This window comes from Homo sapiens, chromosome 17 (genome assembly GCF_000001405.40).
Source record: "Homo sapiens chromosome 17, GRCh38.p14 Primary Assembly".
Classification (NCBI taxonomy): domain Eukaryota; kingdom Metazoa; phylum Chordata; class Mammalia; order Primates; family Hominidae; genus Homo; species Homo sapiens.
In genome coordinates, this window is record NC_000017.11 from 9,155,607 (window position 1) to 9,179,397 (window position 23,791).

The window sequence follows — 23,791 nt, forward strand, 5'->3', positions numbered from 1 at the left end:
CTGGGATTACAGGCGTGAGCCACTGCGCCTGGCGCTCCTGGAGCAGCTTTCTAAGCCTCAGAGTTTGCACTTAGAGAACAGCATTTTAGGCAAAGGGGATTAAACATTTACATACCCTGGAGGCGGTGGGCGTCATGATCTCCCTAACCCAGGAATTCTCAAACTCAGCACTATGGACATTTGGCAGGCTCTGTTTGGGGGAACTGTCCTGTGCATTGTAGGAAGTTTAGCGACCTCTCTGGTTTCTATCCCTGGATGCAAACAGCCCCTCCCTCCCCAGTCATGATAACCAAAAATGTCTGTAGACACTGCCAGATGTCCACTGGGGGACAAAATTGCCACCGGTTGAGAACACTGCCCCCTCTCCCTCAGGGAATTTGTGAGTTGTACATGCTGAGTAGGTCTCCTGGTCCTTACCCAGGAGCCATGGACTTACCTAGCAGAGGAGCTGGTGAGGGAAGAAGCGCCCCCCACCGACCTGCAAATTTTTGCCATGTCCCAACCTGCCCATGTGGCCTGGACATGTGGAAATGTGTCAACAATCATGACAGATCTGAGAGCAGTACCTGTCCCAGTGCGCAGGCAGCCAATGGCTGGGGCCTGCAGCCTGCGATGGTGCCTGCGTGAGTTGGTTTTTTTTTTTTTTTGGAGAATTCAGCCGTTATGCTACAGAGATAACATGGTCAGTCTTCTCAAAAGAACTGCTCTGGAAGGAGAAGACATGGTGATCCTGTGTGCTGGAGGGCTGCTGTGGGGTACTGGGCCCCAGACTAGAGCCTCTGAGGAGACCCATCACCAAATGGCCTTCCTGCTCCAGTGAGAAGCCCCTGGGCCATGTGAAGTCTGGGGGAGCCAGGACCAGAGTCCCTGAGAGACATGGTCTGGAAACTGCTCACCAATGTCTGCTGGATGCTTTCTGGACCTGGGGTAGTCCTGATGGGATTGAGAGTAAGTTCGCCAGGGTCTTTTGGGGTGGGCCAACACTTATGGTTTGGTAAATTCATCAAAAACAATGGATGCAGATTCAGTCTCTGTGTGCAAGGGCACTACTTAGAGTTCCAGGAAGAGTCCAGGGGACTTAGATGTGGGTTTTTCTCTCTAAAGCACAGCAGTCTACTTGAGCAGACAGAAGTTAAATTGATGAGTTAAAGCAGTTGAAAGCAACAATCAGATGTCGCAAGGCTATGCCTTGTCAGGGAGTGGTTCAGGCAGTAAATCCTCTATCTGCCCTACCTGTCTAACTATCTAACTGTCTCTATACATACCCGCTTGCCTGTCTACCTGCCCACCTACCTATCCATCCATCCATCCATCCATGCATGCGTCCATCCATCCATCCATGCATCCCTCCCTCCCTCCCTCCCTCCACCCACCTATCAACCCCATCCATCCGTCCATCCCTCTCTCCATCTATCCATCCGTCCATCCATCCACCTTTTCATCCTTCCATTCATTCATCCATCCATCTATCTTCTCTCTTGTTTGCTTTCTGTCTCTCATTTGCACAACAAAAATGTATGAAGGCTTTCTGTGGGCTGGAGGATATAAGAGCAAACGCTGTCCCTATCCTCAGCAAACCAACACAGTTAATGAGAGATTAGTCCCACTTGATCAGAGAATTTTCTGACATGAGTTTGTTCCCTCCATTAGATGGGGAACCCATGGATAGTTGAGAGTGCATTGTCCATCTGTGTATCTCACATAGCCTGTAGCACAGAGCTGGGAACATAGCTAGAACACTGTGAGTATGCACTGAACTGACCTGACCTGGGGAGTGGGAAGGGGTTGAGCAGTTCCAGGTTGGTGGGAGAGGGAGAGGGGCAGAAAGGCAGGAATGTTGAGAGGTAAGGAGTGGCCACAGGCATGTGTTGAAATAGGACTTAGAGGACTTTTTGATGGGGGAAGAAAATAGGAACCCACCTCTTGGGCCTCTTTTCCTACTGGGTTTCTGGTTGGAAAGTGGGGCCTCTCGCCCTCCTATCTTCCTTACCCTCGTTATGCCCTGGGTCTGAAATGCAGCCACATGTGATGCATCCTTGGTGATCCTCACATGATAGCCAAAGAGGGGCACAAAGCTTGGGGTGTCTGTGGGTGTCTGGGGTACCCCTGGATAAGAGGCAGAGCCTCAATGGCCTAGGCAGTGCTTCTGTCCTTGCCCCTGCTGGTCCCTCAAGAGTGTCTCTGCCACCCCCAACCCCCTTTTCTCTGGGCTGACCTCTCTGTTCTCACAAAGCTGCCCTTTCCTCCCTGTCTTGAAATCTGATAATGAAACTAATACCCAATATTTTTGCCTCCAAGAGATGCAGGAGATAAACAGGAAGGCGCAAAGGATTAAGGTGTCTCTCTGAGGAAGGGGCTAGGGACAGGCCGGGAGTTGGGTGACGCCTCTGTGTGGAGCCGAGGGATCCAGATGTGAGCTGCTTTGCCCAACGCATTTTTCCATCTGTGCAGAGAAAATAAAACAAAGAGAAAAGAAAACAAGCTGTAAAATACTTTGCAGAAGTCTGAGCATGGGCATTTGCCACTTGATGTCTCCTGACAGCTCCAAGAAGCAGGGGAGGGAAGGGAGCCCTGCCTTTTGATGTTTGCCTCAGAGTTTTCTTTTGTGTGACCAGTTGTTTAGGAAGAACCTTTTGTTGGCGTAAGGTGCATATGGAAGAGAGCTACCAGCCCCCAGCTTCCTCCTGGGGTGGGAAAAGTGGAGGCTGAGCTCCCAGAAGGGGCTCAGAGGTTAGGGCAGGCCCCTCTGGAAAATGCAGGAGAAGGACATTTGCCTCCAAGAAGGACAGGATGATGCTGTTATCAGGCCTTTCCTGGTACAAGGGAGGCCTGAGGAAGTGAGGCCTGGGTGATCCTTCCAGATCCCTGTCCCCAGGCAGGTGTTCCAGTTCCTGTGATTTCTGTGCTTGTAAGAAAGATGTAGATTCTGACTGTAGTCTAGGCCAGCTGTTACTTCCAGTGATAGGGGTCTTTTCCTCTGAGCCAGTGGACCAGGAGCCAGAAGGGTAGGGTTCCCATCCTGGGCCCCCCCATTTACTGGCTCTGTGGTCCTGGGCTGGTTGGTCATTTCACCTCTCTGAGCAGGCCCCTGTCACCCTTGTCTGGCAGAGTGAGTCCAAAGAGAGTGAGTGTGTGCAGGCGTGACAGTCGTCTGCAGGAGGGCAAGGTGCAGCTGCAGCCTCTTTCTTTGCACTTGGTTGAACTCAGCCCTGGGAACACTTGCCGGAGGACAGTTAGCAAGGTTCTGGGACTCATCCCCTGGTCTAATTTGGCTTCTGGCTGCTTTCAGACTTCAGGGCAGGAGCTGTCTTTTCTCCTGCATCCCACACTGCTTTTTCTAGGGCCCTGTCCACCTCTATTTGTAAATGAAATGACTAATGGGTGAGTGACTTGGCAGTGACTCTAGGAAGAGCACTTAAAGAAGCTTGTCATAACATCAGAGAGAAAAATTAAAGAGGCACATGTTTTTCTAAAGATCACAAATTAAAGTAACATGTGAATGAGAAACTTAAAAATATTTACAGCTTATATGGCAGAAAAGACAAACAATGTTTAATCCTCCTGATCACTAGACAGCATGAAAAAAGTCCACCTTATTTGAAAACTGGGCAAATGGCATGAACAGGCAATGCACAAAAAAGAAATATAAATAGAAAAACAATACATGGGGAAATGCCCAACCTTCCTAGTAATCAAAGACATGCAAATTAAAATCGTCTGTGTGTGTGTGTTTTCTCTCAGACAGAGTGGCCAATATTTTTTAAAAAGAATGCCGATACCAAATGCATATTATTATTTTCAAGCACGTGGTGAAATAGGAGCTCTCATATCCTGCTGGTAGGTGTATAAGCCAGTACAGCCTTTCTTGAGGGCAGTTTGGCAATTTGGTGCCAATGTTAAAAACATGTAGAAGGGCTGGGCGCAGTGGCTCATGTCTGTAATCACAGCACTTTGGGAGACCGAGGTGGGTGGATCACGAGGTCAGGAGTTTGAGACCAGTCTGGCCAACATAGTGAAACCCTGTCTCTACTAAAAATACAAAAAATTAGCCGGGTGTGGTGGCAGGCGCCTGTAATAGCAGCTACTCGGGAGGCTGAGGCAGGAGAATCGCGTGAACCTGGGAGGCGGAGGTTGCAGTGAGCCAAGATCACGCCACTGCACTCCAGCCTGGGCTACAGAACGAGACTCCATCTCAAATAAATAAATAAATAAATATAAATAAAAATATAAAAACATGTAGGTTCAAAATTCAACCCAGTAATTCCATCTAGAGAAATTTGCACTACAACAGTCATTGGAGCAGAGCACAAATATATATGTTCAAAGGTGGTTCAAGGTGGTTACCTTTATGTTCAAAGGTAGTTGACATTTATAATAGTGAAAAATGGGAAACGACCTATAGGTGCCCAACCCTGGGAGGTCCTTCTTTTAAATGCCTCCACTTCCAACTCCAAGAGGCCCACTATGCATAGCCATGCAACACAGTGCCAGAGGAATTTTATTTTTTAGTTTTTAATTTTTGTGAGATAGGGTCTCGCTCTGTGGCTCAGGCTGGAGTACAGTGGTGGCTCATGGCAACCTCCACCTCCCAGGTTCAAGAGATTCTCCTGCCTCAGCCTTCCGAGTTGTTGGGATTACAGGCGCAAACCACCATGCCTGACTAATTTTTGTATTTTTTAGTAGAGACGGGGTTTCACCATATTGGCCAGGCTGGTCTCAAACTCCTGGCTCCAAGAGATCTGCCCACCTTGGCCTCTCAAAGTGCTGGGATTATAGCTGTGAGCCACCATGCCCAGCCCGGACATCTTTTAAACATTGTGAAGATCAGTATTTGACACAAGAAAATGTTCATTATTATGAAAAAAAACCCCCACAAAACTAGATGTATAAAAGTATGATCCGTGTTTGTAGGAAAGAATTAAATAGCTCCACAACTGAACAAATGTTAATGAAAGCCTGAAAGGAAAGATCTCTGTAGCAACTGTGGTTGGTAGAAATAGGAGTGTGTTCCTTTCTCTTCCTGCTTTTGTTTTTTGAGTGCATGAATTAAATATATATTTCTTAGGTTGGGTGTGGTGGCTCACGCCTGTAATCCCAGCACTTTGGGAGACCAAAACAGGCAGATATCTTGAGCCCAGGAGTTCGAGACCAGCCTGGGCAACATGGTGAAACCCTGTTTCTACAAAAAAAAATACAAAAAATTCGCTGGGCATGGTGGCACATGTCTGTGGTCCCAGCTACTTGGGAGGCTGAGGTGGGAGGATCTGACAAGCCCAGGAGACAGAGGTCTCAGTGAGCCAAGATCTGTGCCATTGCACTCCAGCCTGGGCAACAGAGTGAGACCCTGCCTCGAACAAAACAAAACAAAACAAACCCAGCATGTATTTCTTTAGAAATTCCATAAAACGTGATTTAGAACACACTGAGCGTGAAACCATGTTGTGGAGTGAACGAGAAGAGGCCAGACCTGTGCTGGAGTAACCCTGGGGTTGGAAGCCTAAAGAAGAAGGCAGGTGACAGGCAATCCTGATGTGGCACAAGGAAAGCTGTGTGAGGCCATGCTGGGTGCCCACGCCAGGCTGGTGGGGTGGAGCGGGGCTGGGAAGTAACATTGGAACCAAGACCTGGGGGATGAGAAGGAGGCAGCCAGATAAAACGGGAGTGTCCTGGGAGGAAGGGAACAGCATGTCCAGAGCCCCAGAGGGGCAGGCGAGGGGTCCTTGCACGTGGCTCTAGAAACAGACCAAAGTTTGGAATCACTGGAGCATAAAGAGCGAGAGGCTGAAGGACGAGACAGGACCAGCTTATTTGGAGCCCTGAAGGCCATGCTGAGTGCTTTCGACTTGATCCTGATGGGCGCCCTCAGATTGGTGCTTAGAAATCCTGCTCTGGGCTGAGTGTGGTGGCTCACGGCTATCATCCCAGCACTTTGGGAGGCTGAGGTGGGAAGGTCACAAGGTCAGGAGTTCAAGACCAGCCTGACCAACATGGTGAAACCCCATCTCTACTAAAAAGACAAAAATTAGCCTGGCGTGGTGGTGTGCACCTGTAATCCCAGCTACTTAGGAGGGTGAGGCAAGAGAATCGCTTGAACCCGGGAGGCGGAGGTTGCAGTGAGCCGAGATCAGGCCACTGCACTCCAGCCTGGGCGACAGAGAAAGACTCCCGTCTCAAAAACAACAAACAAACAAAAAGAAATTGTGCTTCTGCTGATCATGCTGAGGGGAGCCTGTGGGACTCAGCTCAAGCCACAGGGAACCTGAGGGCAGGATGGTAAGGAGTGAATGATGTCGGGCAGGTGACTCTGGGTTCAAGTGGAGACCCCAGACCTGAAGCTGGAAATACTGATTTGGGAGTTGGGAGCACAGAGATGATGAGTGGTGAAGGAGACAGATGGGGAGGGTGTGGAGGTGGGCAGGGAAAGGGAGCTGAGTCCTGAGCAATGCTCATGGGGAGGGAACAGGTGGAGCAGAGCCATAGCTGACAATGTGGGGGTCCTCTCCCCAGAGCAGGGCTGGGCAGCCTCCGGAAGCTGGACAGGTTGAGGTGGGAAGAACGATGGTGTGCAGGCCCCAGAGTCCTCGGTGGACGAGGGGGAGGGGGAGAAGGGGAGGCCAGGCTGGCAGCAGGGGCCTCAGTAGTTTGCTCAGCTGCTACAACAAAGTGCCACGGGCTGGGGGCTGAAACGCTAGACGTTTACTTCTCACAGTTCTGCAGCCTGGAAGTCCAAGATCAAGGTGTTGGCAGGGTTGGTTGCTCTGGAGGCCCTTCTGCGTGGCTTGCAGATGGCCGCCCTCTGGCAACGTCCTCACGGGATCTCTCCTCCGTGCACATGCGTCCCTGCGTCTCTCTGTGTCCTCATCTCCTCTTCCTACAACGACACAGTCATACTGGCATAGGGCCCACTCTGAGGGCCTTGTTTTAAGACTCTGTCTCCAAATATGGTCACATTCTGAGGTACTGGGGGTCACGGCTTCAACATAAGAATTTTGGGAGAACCTTAGCCATGTATTGTTACGTGCCCAATAAATGCTTACGGGTACAAACAGGAGGAGCCGAGGAGGAGCTCCTGGAGCACAAGTCTGCCTGCCTGGCTCTGCTAGTGGAGAAGGGAGGAGTTGAGGGGTGGGGTTTCTTTTGACGCTCTTGGGTGCCTGTCCTCCCCGCGCCCCTGCGGCTGACACCTCTCTCTGTCTCCCCCTGCAGCCTGTAACTGCAACCTGCATGCCCGGCGCTGCCGCTTCAACATGGAGCTCTACAAGCTTTCGGGGCGCAAGAGCGGAGGTGTCTGCCTCAACTGTCGCCACAACACCGCCGGCCGCCACTGCCATTACTGCAAGGAGGGCTACTACCGCGACATGGGCAAGCCCATCACCCACCGGAAGGCCTGCAAAGGTGGGCTACACGTGGCGGGGCGGGGGGCTGGGGAGACCCGGGGAACATCAGTCCTCCCGCTCCCTCCTCGCTTCCTTTTCTATTTTCTTCCAGTCTGTACAAATTGGCGTTGTCTGAGGTCATCTCTCTCTCTTTCTCTCTCTGTGACACACACACACACACACACACACACACACACACACACGCCTCCCTGGTATTTGGAGGTGTAAGCCAAAACAAAGGGGTGATGGAGACATGGCTCAAAGGAGAAGAAAGGAGAAGGTGGGATCCCCTACAAGGGTGCAGGGCTGCGGCCGCCAACACCTCTCCCTCCCCTCCCCCTCCTGGGCTTCTCCTCTGCACAGGTGTGCTGCATACCAGAGGGCTGCGAGTCATGTTCGCCAGGCTTACCGTTGGGACAAAGGACTCTCTTTCACCAAATGCACGCAGACTCACTTCTTTGGATATGTGCGCACCGCCCCTCACTCCCCCCCGAAACACACACACACACACACACACACACACACACACACACACACACGTACAGTCACAGCGGAGTCGGCAGTTTCAGGGGCAGGGTCTCAGAAGGAACATTTAATCCATCTGCAAATAGCTTTACTTCTCAGGACAAAAAAAAAAATTAAAAGGAGACGGGAGACTATTTTCGTCCACTGAAGCAAGCACTAATGTTTTAACTTTCTGCTGTTTGTTTTTCTCGTACCAACAAAAATGAAGCAATGGTCAGATGATTCAGAGAAGTTGATGAAATGCCAGAGAATTCAGTGATGCTGGAGGGTGAGAAGCGGGGCCCCCCCCACCCCACAAAATCTTTTGGGAATTCCAGGAACCAGGGCTTTCCTGCTGCAAAACTTGTGGCCTAAGGTCAGGGCCTGCCATGAACATGGCTTCCCAAGAAGATATTTACCTCTGAGGGCTCATGGGCAACACCTCGGCATGGGTGGGGTCCTGACCTGGACTTGTGTAGACCCGAACACACCAGGGTCCCAAGCCACGGCAGACAGGCCCAGGTGGCGTCCTGCAGGAGAGAAACCCTTCTGTGGCCACTGCTCAGCGTGTGGATGAAGCAAAAGTATCATCTTCTTAACAGGAAGTCCACCAGATGTTGGGCACTTGTGTGCAGGACTGACTGCATAATTTGCAGGGCCCAGTGCAAAATGAAAATAGGGGGCTTCCAGCACTTTGGGAGGCCAAGACGGGCGGATCACCCTAGGTCAGGACTTCAAGACCAGCCTGCCTAACATGGTGAAACCCCATCTCCACTAAAAATAGCAAAATTAACTGGGTGTGGTGGCGGTTGCCTGTAATCCCAGCTACTTGGGAGGCTGAGGCAGGAGAATAGCTTGAGCCTGGGAGGCGGAGGTTGCAGTGAGCCAAGATCGCGCCACCGCACTCCAGCCTGGGTGACAGAGCGAAACACTGTCTCGAAAAAAAAAAAAGAAAGAACATCTTGGGGGAAAAAAAAAAGAAAGTAACAAAGTAGGGGGCTTCTTATTCCAGAGATATTAAGAATTTTGAAACAAGGACAGCAGAGTTTCAACCAAGCTGGTGCCCTTCTGAGCACGGGGCCCATGAATCCAACCCAGCCCTGCTTATGTGGAACACTTTTCTCAAAATAAACAGGTTCCCAATCTGTCTCTTCCAGGAGAAATCCCTTTGATTCCAAATGCACAGGCATAAGTAGAATGGCTCCCTCGGTCAAGCAAGGTGTCCTTCTGTGTCTGCGGACTTACGGCTGCCTCTGGTGGTTGCCAAGAGAAACATGAACAGAAAGGTAGCTGGGCTGTTTCCACATTTTTTAAAAAATCACGGTTTCAGGTGAGAATCCCCCAGAAGACTGAGCAGAGAATGAATGGGAAGGTGGCCCAGGCAAAGGGACCCGAGAAACATCTGCAATGCCAGAAAGGTGTGACCAGGACAAGCCCCGGGAGAGATGGCTTTGGGCTTCCAGAGAACATAGTTGGAAGGTATCCAGCTCCTTTGCCTGTGCCCAGAGTGTTTGTTGTCTCTCTTTTACAGAAGAAATGGAGGCCAGGGGTCTTGTAAACAGCTGGCTTGCACATAGATTTCTTGGGAGTTCAGCCAAGAAATTTTACCCAACAGCGGCCACTCAGGTGGGCAGTCCTGTGCCTGAGAGTGAGAAGGTCTGGGTGAGAAAGGGCACTGGTCACTTCCTGTCATGCCAGTTTCTGCTGTCCAATTAGAAATGTATGTTTCCCAGAGAGGCAAGAAGGGGCAGGGCCCTGGTCACCTCCACCTACACCCTGTTGCTGTGGACAGGGACAAGAGCCATTTGCAGCCTCTCACCACTCAGAGTGAGAGACGTCAGGAAGCCACAGGGTCCCGGGAACCCGCAGGCCATTCTCCAGGGGTCTGCCACTCTGGCTGAATGGCATGATATTGCCCACCTTCCTTTACTGGTTTGTAGGAGGGCCAGATGCAAATAAATGAGGATGTGTTCTTGTTTTACGAGTTACAACATTGTGGCCAGCCTAGGTGGCTGTGTTTTCCTTCCCAGCCATGGACAGCAGCTGCCCCGGCCTTGGTGGGAACCCTGGGAGAATAACTCACAGGACGGGAAAACCTAAGGATGGATTCTACTCAGAAAGACACAGGCAAATTCTACTGAAGAAATGTGGCAGGAAAGGGTGGGACTCTTAGTGCCTGTTGACTGGGGAGGAATGACAGTGTTTCAAGGAAACTGCCATCAGATTGGTGAAGAAAGACAGTGCTTCAAGGAACTTGTCACCTGATTGGTGACAGAAGACTACACTTAAAAATATTTGCCACCTGATTGGTGAGGAAAGACAGGGCTTTGAGGTTTCTGCTTTCTGATTGGTGAGAAAAAGCATTGCCCAGAGATCTCTGCTTCATGATTGGCAAGAAAATATCTACTCTCTGATTGGTGAGCAAAAATTTGACCCAAGAAGTCCAGCCATCTGATTGGTGAAGAAAGACATCTCTGGAAAGTCCAGATCTTTCCCCTCAGCTCTTTCCTTTCCTGGTATCATGCTCTTATGGGATATAGGACACTTCCCACCAAAAAGAGACCCTGAGATCTTGGTAGGAACCATCGTTAGGAGAAGTTCAGATGCTGGCGGGATGTGTACCCTTGAGATCTTCAAACAGGGGTCTCCTGGTCAACCCCCTTCCACCACCACCACCACCACCACCACCACCACCACCACCACCACCACCACCACCACCACCAGCACCTCCTGCCTTGTATTCCCAGGGCCAGATGGTTCAAGGAAATGGTTCCTTGCGAGGTTTGATATTTGACAGTTTGCTCTCAGAGGCTTCTGAAATTTTGTAGATGTGGTGCTGCCCCCAGGCTCTGGCTTTTTTTTTTTTTTTTTTTGAGATGGAGTCTCACTCTGTTGTCCAGGCTGGAGTGCAGTGGTGCAATCTCGGCTCACTGCAACCTCTGCCTCCCAGGTTCAAGCGATTCTCCTGCCTCAGCCTCCAGAGTAGCTGGGATTATAGGTGCAAGCCACCACAACCAGCTAATTTTTGTATTTTTAGTAGATATGGGGTTTCATCATGTTGGCCAGGCTGGTCTCGAACTCCTGACTTCAGGTGATCTGTCCACCTCAGCCTCCCAAAGTGCTGGGATTACAGGTATGAGCCACCGTGCTTGGCCAGTTAGGCCCCATCTTTTGAGAATGACTTCTGGAAGCCCTATCATAGGCCTTCAGGTGAGAGCTGCACTTCTTTGCTTTGTTTCAGATGAATTTCACAGGGGAACAGGGACAAAGGGCAGGGGTTCTTGACTCCCAAATTGGCTTGGGAACGGCCTCTGGGGCCTCTTTACCCCAGACTTTACAGGGCCTGGGCAGGGGGCCGAGGCCACCCATATGCTGCTGGTGATTGGCTGACTCTGGACCTTGTCCAGTGTAGAGGAGGGGTGGACCCAGACAAGAACAGCCTGGAGTAAGGGCATCAGATTCCAAACATTACTATGTAGTTGCCCCATTTGGGAAGTTTCGTAGCAACAAATTTGTTGGGTTCTTTCTCCCCTCCCCTGGTTTAGAAGCAAACCAGAGCTGGCAGGGTTGGTGCGTACAAAGGACTGTAATAAACATACCCGGGGAACAGGCGGCTGCACTCTCCAGCTATTCAGTGCGATTTCACAGCACTGGGACGGCCTCGTTATGGTGCAAGCTGTTGTCCTATACAAAGGCAGATGAGATAAATTTCTCCCTTTTCTCCGCTGAATGGTCTGTGAATGATACTCGTCTTGGAGTCTGTCAAAAGACAGGAGGTTTTGTTTACCATTTGTCTTCTTTGTGGACTTTGGGGGCTCTTTCTCTTTAGAGCGGGCAAAGACGACCAAAGACGACGTTGCTATTTAACCATTTCGGCCCTGCCCCCATTGATAACAATATTAATTTATCATTTTCCCAAACCATCTGTGATGGATAAAGACATTCCAGGAGTCTCCCGTGAACCGAATTGTGATGAGAATTAAGAAATTAACCACTGCATCCAGCATCCCCATACAAAGGGCTTGCATTTCCATCTCACTGAGCTGCCTGTTTCCTTCTCTCATTGTCTTTCCCCCTTTCAAGCCCACAGTTCGTGTGGTTGAATGAAGGCTAGGAAGGTGCTTGAGTCCCAAGCAAGAAGATGCAATAATTAGCCAGGGCAAAAGCATGCAATCGTCCTCACATCTTTGCTAGGACGTTCTTGCTACTTCCGTCCACCCCTTATTTCTTTCAGCAGCTCAGCCAAGAGTTGCTGGATGGGGAGGAAATGAACACCACAGTCTTGCCCCCTCTGTTTCCTTGGGTCACTGTGTGCAGGGGACTCCCCATGACTTTCTCATTCGTGATTCTCCACCTTCACTGTATGGCGTCATCAGCATTATTTGTCTGTAACTTATGCTGTGAGTCTCACCCTTGGCTGCACATTGGAACCACTTGGGGAGATTTGAAAATACTGCCGCCTGGATCCCACCCCCAGAAATTCTGGTTTAATTAATGGGTCCAGATGCGATCTGGGCATTTGGAATTGGAAAAGCTCCCCTGGAGATTCTAATGTGTAACCAACACTGAGAACCACAGAGAATAAGAAATGAGGATGGTGAGTTGCTCTTGGTGGCATTAAGGGAAGACTTGTAGGCAGCCTAGACCCCAGGTTTATTGTTTTGAGGAGATAGATTGATCATCAATGAATTTAAATGTTTTTTATGATTATCTTGATGATAACTGGGAGGTTGGGCATTTAAATTTTTTAAATTTAAAAATCCTGGCCGGGCACGGTGGCTCATGCCTGTAATCCCAACACTTTGGGAGGCCACGGCGGGCGGATTACCTGAGGTCAGGAGTTTGAGACTAGCCTGACCAACATGGAGAAACCCTGTCTCTACTAAAAATACAAAATTAGCCGGGCGCAGTGGCGCATGCCTGTAATCCCAGCTACTTGGGAGGCTGAGGCAGGAGAATTGCTTGAACCCAGGAGGCAGAGGTTGCAGTGAGCCGAGATTGCGCCATTGCACTCCAGCCTGGGCAACGAGAGTGAAACGCCGTCTCAAAAAAAAAAAAAAATCTTACTGGGCAAGGCTGGGAGCTTAGCTAGTGTAGCCTGATTAAGGCACAAGATCAGACAGTCATCAGTGCCAGATAGATAGTGCTTGCACGTGTGTGTGTGAATATGTGTGTTTAGATCTGATCATTTGTGGATTTATTCACAGCAAAGCAAAGTTCCTGGGCCCCCACCCTTCTTGGTCTTCCTGACTCTAAGGCATTGTCCACCCACCCTATAAAAGCCTCGGGCACCCTTTGAATATGTGGGTCCCCTGTCACATTTCCATTACCTGTATTTATACTTTCATGTTTTTTTGTGGGGGGTGCAGGGAAAAGGGTTGGTCATCTGAGGCAGGAAGGTACTTAGTGGCTGGAGCGGCTCCAGCTTTGAGGACAGAGACCCCAAGGCAAGGAGTGGGCTTCATTATGGCCAGGTAAGGTTAGTACCTACTGGGAGAAACTGACACCTTAGATACTGCATTTGGGAGAGAGAATTCCCAGTGGAAGAGTTTCACTCCAACTGTGATCTGTGTGGATGCATCTTTTCCCTTGGGAGACATGAGCATCACAAACCTTACCTACGTATTTGGCTCCATGTTCAGTCTACAGGGTATCAGATAAGTCTGGTGACCTCTCTAGACCTCAGTCTCCTCATCTGTGGGATTATGGTCAGGCTGCTGGCCTCTGAATCCCTTCCAGCTTTGACATTCCACATTCCACATGCTTCTTAAGTAGTCAACCTCTTAGGAGAACTTGATACAATAGGACAATTCTTTGTAGCAGTGAAGTTTGTGATCTGGTGACTCAGAAAAGCTGGTAGAGCCAGGAAATTAGGTGGAGGTGGTTTGACTGCAGTCTTTACAGATGAAAAGAGTCCCTGATCTTGTGACTCGACCCATGTGGCGCACTGTGCCAAACGGGGTCTCCCTGGCCCAGCTGTGCTCATTCCCTGGACACCCTTGGCCCATCCATGTTTTCACCTCCCTGGATGTGAGTTCTCTGATCTCTCAGGACCACTCTTGTCCCCAAATGCCACATAGAAATTCCTGGAGGATTGGCTGGGTGCGGTGGCTCACGCCTGTAATCCCAGCACTTTGGGAGGCTGAGGCGGGTGGATCACCTGAGGTCAGGATTTTGAGACCAGCCTGGGCAACATGGTGAAACCCTGTCTCTACTAAAAATACAAGAATTAGCCGGGTGTGGTGGCGCATGCCTGTAATCCCAGCTACTCGGGAGGCTGAGGCAGGAGAATCGCTTGAGCCTGGGAGGCAGAGGTTACAGTGAGCCGAGATCGCACCATTGCACTCCAGCCTGGGTGACAGGGCGAGACTCCGTCTCAAAGAAAAGAAAAAGAAAAAGAAATTCCTGGAGGATCTCCAGGGGTTCCTGTGCTTGAGCAGAAAAGACTCCTGATCATTGAGCTCCCCAAGTTAACGGAAGTTCTGGGTTTGGCCAGAGCGTTAAGGGCATTTTACTTGAGGAAATAGTGTCTTTTGGGCTTTTTGTTGCCAGGAGAGCACTTATGGGGCCGGGGGCAGGTGGCACGGGGATAGTAAACAGGTTTGGGATGCAGAGCTTTGAAAAGCATGGAACTTGGTGTTATTCAGACCACAGTTCAGGCTCCACCTCTGGAGGCAAGACATTTACTCTCAGTAGCCTCAGCTTTCTTATCTGCAAATGGGAAGAATAGTCCCTCCTCCCTCCTAGGGCTATGGTGCAGATTAAATGAGATGATGTGGAGGATGTCCGGGCATGTAGCATGCGTTCCATGTATGGCAGCTATTATGATTATTTGTGCAAGTCAGAGAAAACAGAAACACTAGAACCCTCTGCCATTGTCAGCACACACACAAAGCAGAGACACTTTCTTTGACCCTCTGGTTGCTTTGGTTCTTTCGGTGAGTGGTGGCCCTCAGGAGAACCGGCCCCTCTTGCTTGAAGGGCTCAGCCCCAGTGTGGACTTGGCAGCCAATTCCCACAGGACTGGGCAGGGCCCCAGGGGTTGGCCCTAATGCTGTTGCACACTCTCAATAAAGGATTTCCATGCTTTGGGAGCAAAGATGACAAGTCGAAGGGCAGAGATGTGCCCAGCAGCTGCTTGTGGAGACCCAGCACAGAGAGGTGGGGGCGGGCTGTGCACATCCAGATTTGGCTCTGGAAGTGCCAAGGAAGACCAGGCAGCATCTGAGGGACTCCTTGACTGGACTGGGACTTAGGGCTGTTGGGAGGCCTGAGCTGGCCTGAGCTGCCTCACCTGTGGCACAGACACAGGACCCAGGTTCCTGCTCCTGCCCCACTGTGTCGTACAGCCCTATTCCTGCCCCAAGCTCTTGTGACACACACACACACACACACACTCACACACACACACTGGGAATCATTTGCAAGACCTGTCTTTTCTCCTTGGCTGTAAAACAGGTGCAGGAAGACTATAGTTAACTAGATCACGGAGTGTCAAATAACCCAGTTTGGGATTACGGGGCTCCCCTCCCCCCAACTTCCTGCCGCCTGCACCTTGATCCGAAAGTGGCAGGGAAAGGATAGGTTGTGCAACTTGAAACATTTATTCTTTTGTGCCTCGTTAGCAACTGCTGGGGCAAAGGAAAGCATAGCTTCAGAGGAGGTTGACACAGACAGCTGAAATGACGTTTGGGGATTATCTTCAGATTTCAGTGATCCTCCCTCCCTTGTTAACACAGAGAATGTAAGAGTGGAGAGTGCAGGGGCATTGGATTGCGGATGACCTAGGATGTGAGGGGACTGTCATCCCACCTGCCCCCTCATTCTTTCCTCCAGATGTGCAGGGGCAGCAACATGCCCCCCTCTCCCCACCAGGAAAGGACGGCAGATTGGCCTGAGTTACATCCAGATTGGTAACAAGATTGTTTGTTCATTTGATTCACCACATGTTTGTGTAACGCTTATTGCATGCTAGACATGGGCCCTTGGAGCTTGCTTTTTGATGGGAGGTTGACAATAAACAAAGAAGAAAAAGGAAGATAATGATGGATTGTGGTGAGTTACATGGAGGAAAGCAGCAGGGTGGAAGGAGAGAGTAACTGGGCAAGCTGCGCTACAAGGTGGCCCTGGAGGGGCTTCTCGCGGACAGGACATCTGAGATGAGACCTGGGGTGTGGGGAGGAAACAGCCACAAGGAAGCTGAGGGAAGAACATTCCAGGAAGAACCAAAGTCTGGAAGCAGGAAAGGGCTTGGTGGGCCCTTGGTCAGAAGGGAAGAGAGGGAGGAAGGGGTGGGAAGAGTCAGCTCCTTGGTGTCTGGAGAGGAGTTGGGTCCCATTCTCAGAGCACTGGAAGGCTGGAAGGAGAAGAGTTAACTGAGTAATATATCAGGCTCACTTTTTTTTTTTTTTTTTTTTTTGAGACGGAGTTTCGCTCTTGTTGCCCAGGCTGGAGTGCAATGGCGTGACCTTGGCTCGCCACAACCTCTGCCTCACGGGTTCAAGTGATTCTCCTGCCTCACCCTCCCGAGTAGCTGGGATTACAGGCATGCGCCACCACACCTGCCTAATTTTGTATTTTTAGTAGAAATGCAGTTTCACCATGTTAGTCAGGCTGGTCTCGAACTCCCAACCTCAGGTGATCCGCCCACCTGGTAATCCCAAAGTGCCGGGATTACAGATGTGAGCCACTGCGCCTGGCCAGGCTAACCTTTTAAGAAGCCCTTTCTAGGCGGGGTGCGGTGGCTCACGCCTGTAATCCCAGCACTTTGGGAGGCCGAGGAGGGCAGATCACGAGGTCAGGAGATCGAGACCATCCTGGGAAACATAGTGAAAATACAAAAAATTAGCTGGGCGTGGTGGTGGGTGCCTGTAGTCCCAGCTACTCGGGAGGCTGAGGTAGGAGAATGGCGTGACCCGGGAGGCGGAGCTTGCAGTGAGCCGAGATCACACCACTGCACTCCAGCCTGGGCGACAGAGCGAGACTCCGTCTCAAAAAAAGAGAAGCTCCTTCTGTAAGACAAGCCACAGATGAAGAGAAGATACTTGCACATCCCACGTCTGATGGAGGACTTGAATATCAAAGATGTAAATGACTCTCAAAATTCAACAACAAGGAAACAAACAACCCAATTAAACATGGGCAAAACACTTGAATGGAAACATCATCAAAGACGGGCAGATCACAAATAAATACATGGAACGTCCTTAGTCATTAGAGAACTGCAGGTTAAAACTACCATGAGGCCGGAAGCGGTGGCTCATGCCTGTAATCCCAGCACTTTGGGAGGCCAAGGCGGGTAGATCACCTGAGGTCAGGAGGCTGAGGCAGGAGAATCACTTGAACCTGGGAGGCGGAGGTTGCAGTGAGCCAAGATTGCACCATTGCACTCCAGCCTGGGCAACAAGAGTGAAACTACATCTCAAAAAAAAAAAAAAAAAAAAATGTATGCACATGATACAAACCCATAAGACTACACCAAAAAAAGTGAATTTTACTCTATGCAAATTAAATGATAATAGCAATAAGAAGAAACTCCTTCCCTAGGGCTCTCTGACACTGCGTCTTTGGGCCTCCTTGTTCCCCATCTCCCATACCTCAAAGCTCTGAACTCACTTAGAGACCAGTCTCCCTGGGTCAGCACTCCCTCCCCTCCCCTGGTCTCTCTGTCTGCCCTGCCCCCAAAAGCCCTGCCTGCCTGGTGTCTTCGCCGCCACCTTACATTAGGTCCGCTCCATTCCAGAATGCCCTGCTGGTTTTCCTGTGTTTCTTCTTTTGGTTGCTGATCCTTCACTCCTGTTTTGGGGAGTGGGGAAGAAATGGGTGCTTGGACACCTCTGTCCCTGACATCATCTTCTCTCCAGTGTCACCTCTAGTGAGGGTCCCACCAGGCTTCCTCCAAGAGGCCTGACACCCACCAGAGATATGGGGACCTGGGGAGCCTCTGGATCCTGCTTTTCTCTGAAGATGCTGGCCCTTGCTGACTCTTTGGACTGTCCTCACTGCACCAAGCAAGCTGCTGCAGTCGACCTCCCTGACCTCCACAGCAGCCAGGGAGCAGCCTGGCCCACGCCGTGGGGCCTGTCCACAGGGCCTCGTCTACCCCTACGTTCTTTGTGGATGGCGTCCACCTATGCAGACTGATACTACTCAAAGCAGAGAAGACTGTCTCCCCCAGCCCAGGAGGGCCACAGGCAGATGCAGCCCTTTGGCATGAGCTGTAGGACTTGGAGTCACATGGAGCCTCACAATTGGCTCCAGGGTTCAGCCCTCCCTGGGGAAACTTGGCAAGATTTCCACATTCACTGCTGGGGCAATGTCCCGGGATTCAGGGCAGGGTGTTTTCTCTGTCTGTTGCATTCCTCTGTCCCTTGGAAGTCTTGTGAGGACTAGGAAGGGAGTTTCCCATCAGACTTTGGGAGGGATGCCTTCAGCACTTGCTGTGTGAGCCCTTTCTTCTTCTGGACTGGAACAGAGGGCACCCCCTGCATTGCTGTACAGGTGAGGAGGGGGCTGCTGATGGGGCCGGCCTCCCTTCTCTGACCTCGTGCCAGCCTTCTGAGGGCTCTTAGGACCTGCAGCACTTCCTGCTCAAGGCCTCTGCCAGTGCCCTTTTGAGAACAGCCCTCAGATGGTCTGTGAGCTGTGAGACCTGTTGGGAATCAGAGCCAGCAGGGGCTCTAAAGATCATGGAAGCTGAGAGCTGCTCTGCTGGCCTGTGGGGGTTTTGGGGACCCTCAGAGACATGGCCTGCCATGGAGAAGGTTTTCCTCTTCCAGCAAAGGTGGTGACTTCCACAGGGAGCCAGGGGATGAAAGAGCTGATTGGTGGAGTGGTGGGGCAGTCTTCCTTCCCATGAGTACAGGACAGGCCTAGGAGGGTCCTGGAGAAGAAGATGCTTACCTGAGGCTCCACACAGGTGTGTTAGTCAGTGCAGGCTGCAAAGTGCCTCAGACTGATTGGCTTAAACAACAGAAGTTTATGTCTCATAGTTCTGGAGGCTGGAAGTCCAAGATCAAGGTGTCAGCAGGGCTGGTTTTGTTCCAAGAAACATCTGCTCCAGGCCTCTTTCCTTGGCTTGCAGATAACCGTCTTCTCCCTGTGTCTTCACAGGGTCTTTCCACTGCACTCATCTGTATCCCGATGCCCTCTTCTAATAAGGACACCGGTCATGTTGGATCAGGTTCCACCCCAGTGACCTCACTTTAAATTAATCAGCTCTTTAAAGCCCCTATGTCCAAATACATCCAACTTTGAGGTACTGGGGATTAGAGTTTCCGCATCAGCATTGTGTGTGGCAGGGAGTACACAGTTTAGCCCATAGCACAAGGTCAGGCCAGAAGCGGAACTTCAGGACTGGCCAGAGGCCTGGGTGGTGGCTGTGGTGGTGTCTGAAGTGAGGGTGGGGCTGTGGCTGTTCTGTCTCCCCTGTCCTACCTGAAGCTGCTCCAGAGGAGCTCATGCCCAGCTGGCTTTCCTGTCCTCTATGGGCACGTGGCCTTGGATCACTGCCATTTGAAGGTCCTGCCTGACCTCAAGAGCCCCTGGAGCCAGAGTCCTCAGGAAAAGTAGCCAGACCTCTGGATAGGAGCCCAGGACAGACTTCTGGAAAGCCTTAGTATGTGCTTCAGTGGAAAGGGTGCCAGGCTCAGGAGTGTGTCTCCTCCCTGGCAGAGCCCAGGAGCCTTCAGGGATCCCTTCAGAGAGTGTCAGAGGGAGTGGGAAAAGGCAGCTACTTGGGCACAAGAAACTGACGATGAGAACCACCTGCCATCCAGGTCAGCTTTGCCAGGGCTCTCGGAAGTCCCTGGGTACTCCCTCTCTTCACCGACAAACCAAATCTCAACAAGATTCTGGCACCATGCAGGTGGGTGCTGGTGCAGGCAGGGCCAGCAGTAAGGGTGTACGGAAGGCCCGGTGTGCCCTGCAACAGGAGCCCTTTCCCCTGCCCTCTTGCCAAGACACTGAGGAACGGCAGCAGAAGGGGCGATGGTCAAAGGGTGGGGGCTGCTGCCCTGGTTCCTTTGGACCCAGCAGGGAGGCAAAAACCTTAGCCTGTTAAGTTGTAAGTCACTTCAGTGGGACTTTAGAGGGAGACCTCTGTCCTTACAGGTGAGCCACCGGTGGTCCAGAGAGAGAAAGGCACTAACCCAGGGTCACTGGGAGGGTGGGGCGCCAGACCTGGATCCCCTCTTACCTGTCTGAAAGCGCGTGGGTCACCTGAGCTGTCTGTCCCTGTCTCATGACCCAGAGCAAGGACCGCGTGGGTTCTCTGCTTCACTGGGAGGCTCTCCAGCCTGCGGTTTCATGGGAAACCTGATCTTGCCGTGTTCTCAGGGACCTGGGCTTCCGTCTGGCCTCACCTTTCTCTTTATGGAAAAAATCCCCGGGTTGATTGTTTCCCATGGCCAGGTGCTGCCTGCTCCTTGCACACGGGGTGACCTGCCATGGAAGGGATTGACCTCCCTCTGAAAAAAGTGGCTGACTTCCAGGGACATGGGAGCCACCCAGCGGCTTCCTATGGCGGAAGATGTTCTGACCCAGACCACGTTCTCAGAGGAATTAGGGAGGCTCTCTCTTTGTCTCCCTCACCAGACACCCCCACCACCTCCCCTGCAAAGGAAAAGACCTCCACTCACCTAACTGCCACCTTCTCCCCAGCTCACTCCACACCTCCCCTCCCCTGCCCCCCCGTGGCCCTGTGTGTCTGTGTCTGTGTGTGTGGCTTTGTGGATCTGAGTATATGTCTGTGCGTGGGTGAGTTTGTAGATAAGAATCCGTGTGTTTGTGAGTCAATGTATGTAGATGAGAGCGAGGGAGGGAGAATTAGTAGGAGTCTGCTTGTATCTGTGTGTTTCTGGGAATATGTGTGAGTCTCTGTGTGTTAGTAGGAACTTTGATGTGTCTGTGTCTGTGTATATTTCAGGGTCAAGGGACTACAGCAGGATGCTTTTGACTTCCTCTTCCTCAAGGCCAGGGCCTGAGTCTTCCCTTGGGCTCAGCCTCTCTTCCTTTGGCACTGCCAGTCACATTCTCCCTTTCCAGGCCATAGTATGGCATTGCCATCTGTCAACTCTCCCTACACCTTGAAACTCAGACTTTGCACAGGGTATAATGGGGGCCATCTCGATTTGTGAATTTTTAGGAAAAGTTCTTTGGGTAATCTCCTTTGGCTGGAGATTGAGAATGAATTCCAGGCAAGTCTGTTAGGATTGCACTGGGTACAGGTAACAGAAAACCCACATCATATTATAAGATAGGAGCTTATTTCTCCTTGCAGAACAAGAAATACAAAGGGGGCCATTTAGAAAGGGTAGTTCCCTCAGAGATCCAGGCTCTTTCCACCTCTCCGCACAGCCCCCAGCTTTCTCCTGCAGTTGTCTTTTCTGGTCCCTGGCCTCCTCTGTGCTGTCACGCGCATTTCAGAGGGCTGTCGCAAGGACCAAGGGATTCGACACGTATGAGAGAGTGTGGATGTGCTAAGGAGTTTGCAGGAGTTGGCACGGGGCAGCTACTGCTGAAGAATACTCTGCCTTGGGCAGCCCCTTTGGGACCCTGATTGCCTCCCTTCCTAGAACAATGATCTGCTGGTGGGGAAACACAAGTCAGCCCGCTGCCTCCATAAACCAGAGGAATAGGTCAGATTCTTGCAGAATCTCAGAAAGATTTGGAAACCCAGGAGCAAGCATCAGCTCATGTTGAACCAAAGAGTGGGCCCTTAGGAAGCGTCTGCCGCACCCAGCAGACACAGTGGCCCTGCCATTACCGGGGACGGCCCTCACTCCGCCAGACCTCAGCTGGTGCCAGCCCAGGCAGCTAAGCGGGTCACCGGCTGTGGGGGAGAACAATGCACCATCCTGACTCCACCCAGAGTCTGCTCTGGGTCGGCCGCTGCCAAGATAAAGACAACCTGGGCCAATGAGGGTGTCCACGTGTGACTTGGCTCTGAACGTGCAGTGACCGAGCAACCTTTGGTGACCTCCCTTCAGCCAAATCCAAGGATCCAGAAGTTACTGGTGCACAGCTGTGTTCCATCAGCTCGGAGGGGAGAATGTCTTGGCATGAATCTTAGGATTACCAGCTGGCTAAGGGAGGTCAGCCGGCCTGAGGCCCTGATGCTCACGCTTGCATCAGGGGCTTCGAAGACAGTAGGAGCCTGTGCTGTGGCCCTTTGCATTCGCACGGCCGACTTAGAGGCACTGCCCATGCTCCATCTCCCTTCCTACCATGGACGAATTTAAGAGACCATAGGGAAAGGTCAGAGACCCTCTCCAGCCTCCCCTCCTCGCCGCCGCCTCTTCTGCACGTCTCCATGGGCCGTCAAGGCTGGATCTTTTCTTACTGTCGAGAGAGACAAACAACAGAGAATGAACTTGAATTTAGGGTACATCTAAGAAGACAATTTCCTAACAAAAGGCATTGCTTCTGGCTGGTCGCGGTGGCTCACGCCTGTAATCCCAGCACTTTGGGAGGCCAAGGCGGGCAGATCACCTGAGGTCAGGAGTTCGAGACCAGCCTGGCTGACGTGTTAAAACCCCATCTCTACTAAAAATACAACAAAATTAGCTGGGTGTGATGGTGGGCACCTGTAATCCCAGCTACTCGGGAAGCTGAGGCAGGAGAATCGTTTGAACCCGGGAGGCGGAGGTTGCAGTGAGCCGAGATTACGCCATTGCACTCTAGCCTGGGCAACAAGAGTGAAATCCATCTCAAAAGAAAAGAAAAACAACCCAGCATTACTTCTATCTATAAGAAGCAGCAGCAAGACTGGAGCAGTTCCATCAGCCTACAGGCAGGGAGCCCTGTAGGCTGCCCCCGTGCCAGGGCCTGTGCCCCCACCCTCCTCCCACCTGATGGGGGCACCCCCAGCCCTGGGACCCTCACTCTGAGTGATTCCAGGAGGTTTTGCATGTCCAGACACAACTTCAACAAACAATTCCTCACATTCTTCTCTTCTCCACCTTCCTCCCTCCCTCCTCTTCCTAATTCTCCTCATTGGCCACTCCTGGGCCCGAGGCCGGCTGGGCTGGGAGAGGTCGTGTTTTGAGCCACAGACTCCCGTGCTCACGCCCAGCAGTGCTTGCTGGGAAGTTCTAATCTGGCTGCTTCAGAGCCTCTGCTCTCACTTGCATTCTTGGGTTTTTTGGTCCTTTTGGAGGAGGAACAGATTAGCAGCCACGAGGGGACACCTGGAATTGCTGCCGGACGCCTTACTGCAGACGACTCCCCACTTCCAGCCTCCAGGATGGGGCATGGGCAGGACATTTGCCTTCTTCCTTCGGTGTTCCCCTTCCCCACCACACTCTGAGGCCACCGCCTAGCTTCAGGGAGGCAGGACTTAGCAGGGAACGCTGGTGTCCTGTGCCTACAGGTATAGCTGTTCTTGCCCTGAGCATCTGTGTTGGTGGGACATCCTCCTGAGGTCCTGTGGCTACTCTCTTACCAGAATTGGCTTCTTGGGACACAGCGACAGAGCCTCCGTGAAGCATGACAGGGTGGGCAACCCCACCTCTCCACCCTTTCAAGCCCAGGAGGAGGGTGGGGGGCCTGCTCTGTGGAGCCGTAGTTGCTGGCTTGAGAATCCCGGGCCTTGCTTCAGCTCCCAGCCTGGCCGTTCCCTTCCTGTGAGGCTCTGGGAGTTTCCTTTACCTCTCCCGTCTTTGTTTGCACATTTAATCAGGGCTTTAAGCTAAATGATCACCGTGACCCTCTCTAGTGCTACAGTTTATGGGTTTTGTGATTCAGAAGGCTGCCTGGCTGCAAAGTAGGGTCAGGTGTTGGGGGGCAGCAGCTGGGGGAGCCACCCCTCCCTGTGACTCCCTCTAACCTGGCAAACCCCAGAGCTTCACCAGGCCTCAAACCCCACTCCTCCCATGCCCTGGGTTGGCAAGAAAACTTGGGGGCAGGGAGCT

At 51.7% G+C, this 23,791-nt stretch overlaps 1 protein-coding gene and 1 long non-coding RNA gene across 4 annotated transcripts in view, besides 2 other annotated features; one reads left to right on the forward strand and one right to left on the reverse strand.

Annotated features, from left to right (window-relative positions):
• The window catches only part of NTN1 (netrin 1), a 240,914-nt gene that overhangs the window by 152,520 nt on the left and 64,603 nt on the right, over positions 1 to 23,791 (forward strand). For all 3 annotated transcript variants that reach the window (XM_047437096.1, NM_004822.3, XM_006721595.4), the window contains exon 3: positions 7,207 to 7,395. In XM_047437096.1, the coding sequence (XP_047293052.1) occupies positions 7,207 to 7,395 (189 nt within the window). The remainder of the gene's footprint in view (positions 1 to 7,206; positions 7,396 to 23,791) is intronic.
• Positions 52 to 553: an enhancer, noted in NCBI's record as "H3K4me1 hESC enhancer chr17:9058975-9059476 (GRCh37/hg19 assembly coordinates)". NCBI's record gives its function as "activates a minimal SCP1, AML or CMV promoter by ChIP-STARR-seq in primed H9 embryonic stem cells {active_cell/tissue: H9 hESC(primed)}" and the evidence as "EXISTENCE:reporter gene assay evidence [ECO:0000049][PMID:30033119]".
• Positions 554 to 1,053: an enhancer, noted in NCBI's record as "H3K4me1 hESC enhancer chr17:9059477-9059976 (GRCh37/hg19 assembly coordinates)". NCBI's record gives its function as "activates a minimal SCP1, AML or CMV promoter by ChIP-STARR-seq in naive H9 embryonic stem cells {active_cell/tissue: H9 hESC(naive)}" and the evidence as "EXISTENCE:reporter gene assay evidence [ECO:0000049][PMID:30033119]".
• On the reverse strand, positions 15,462 to 23,512 carry LOC101928266 (uncharacterized). The gene is made up of 4 exons (NR_110828.1): positions 23,323 to 23,512; positions 17,602 to 22,220; positions 17,188 to 17,275; positions 15,462 to 16,236 (listed from the first exon to the last, which is right to left on the reverse strand). It is a non-coding gene; the product is annotated as an uncharacterized LOC101928266 (long non-coding RNA).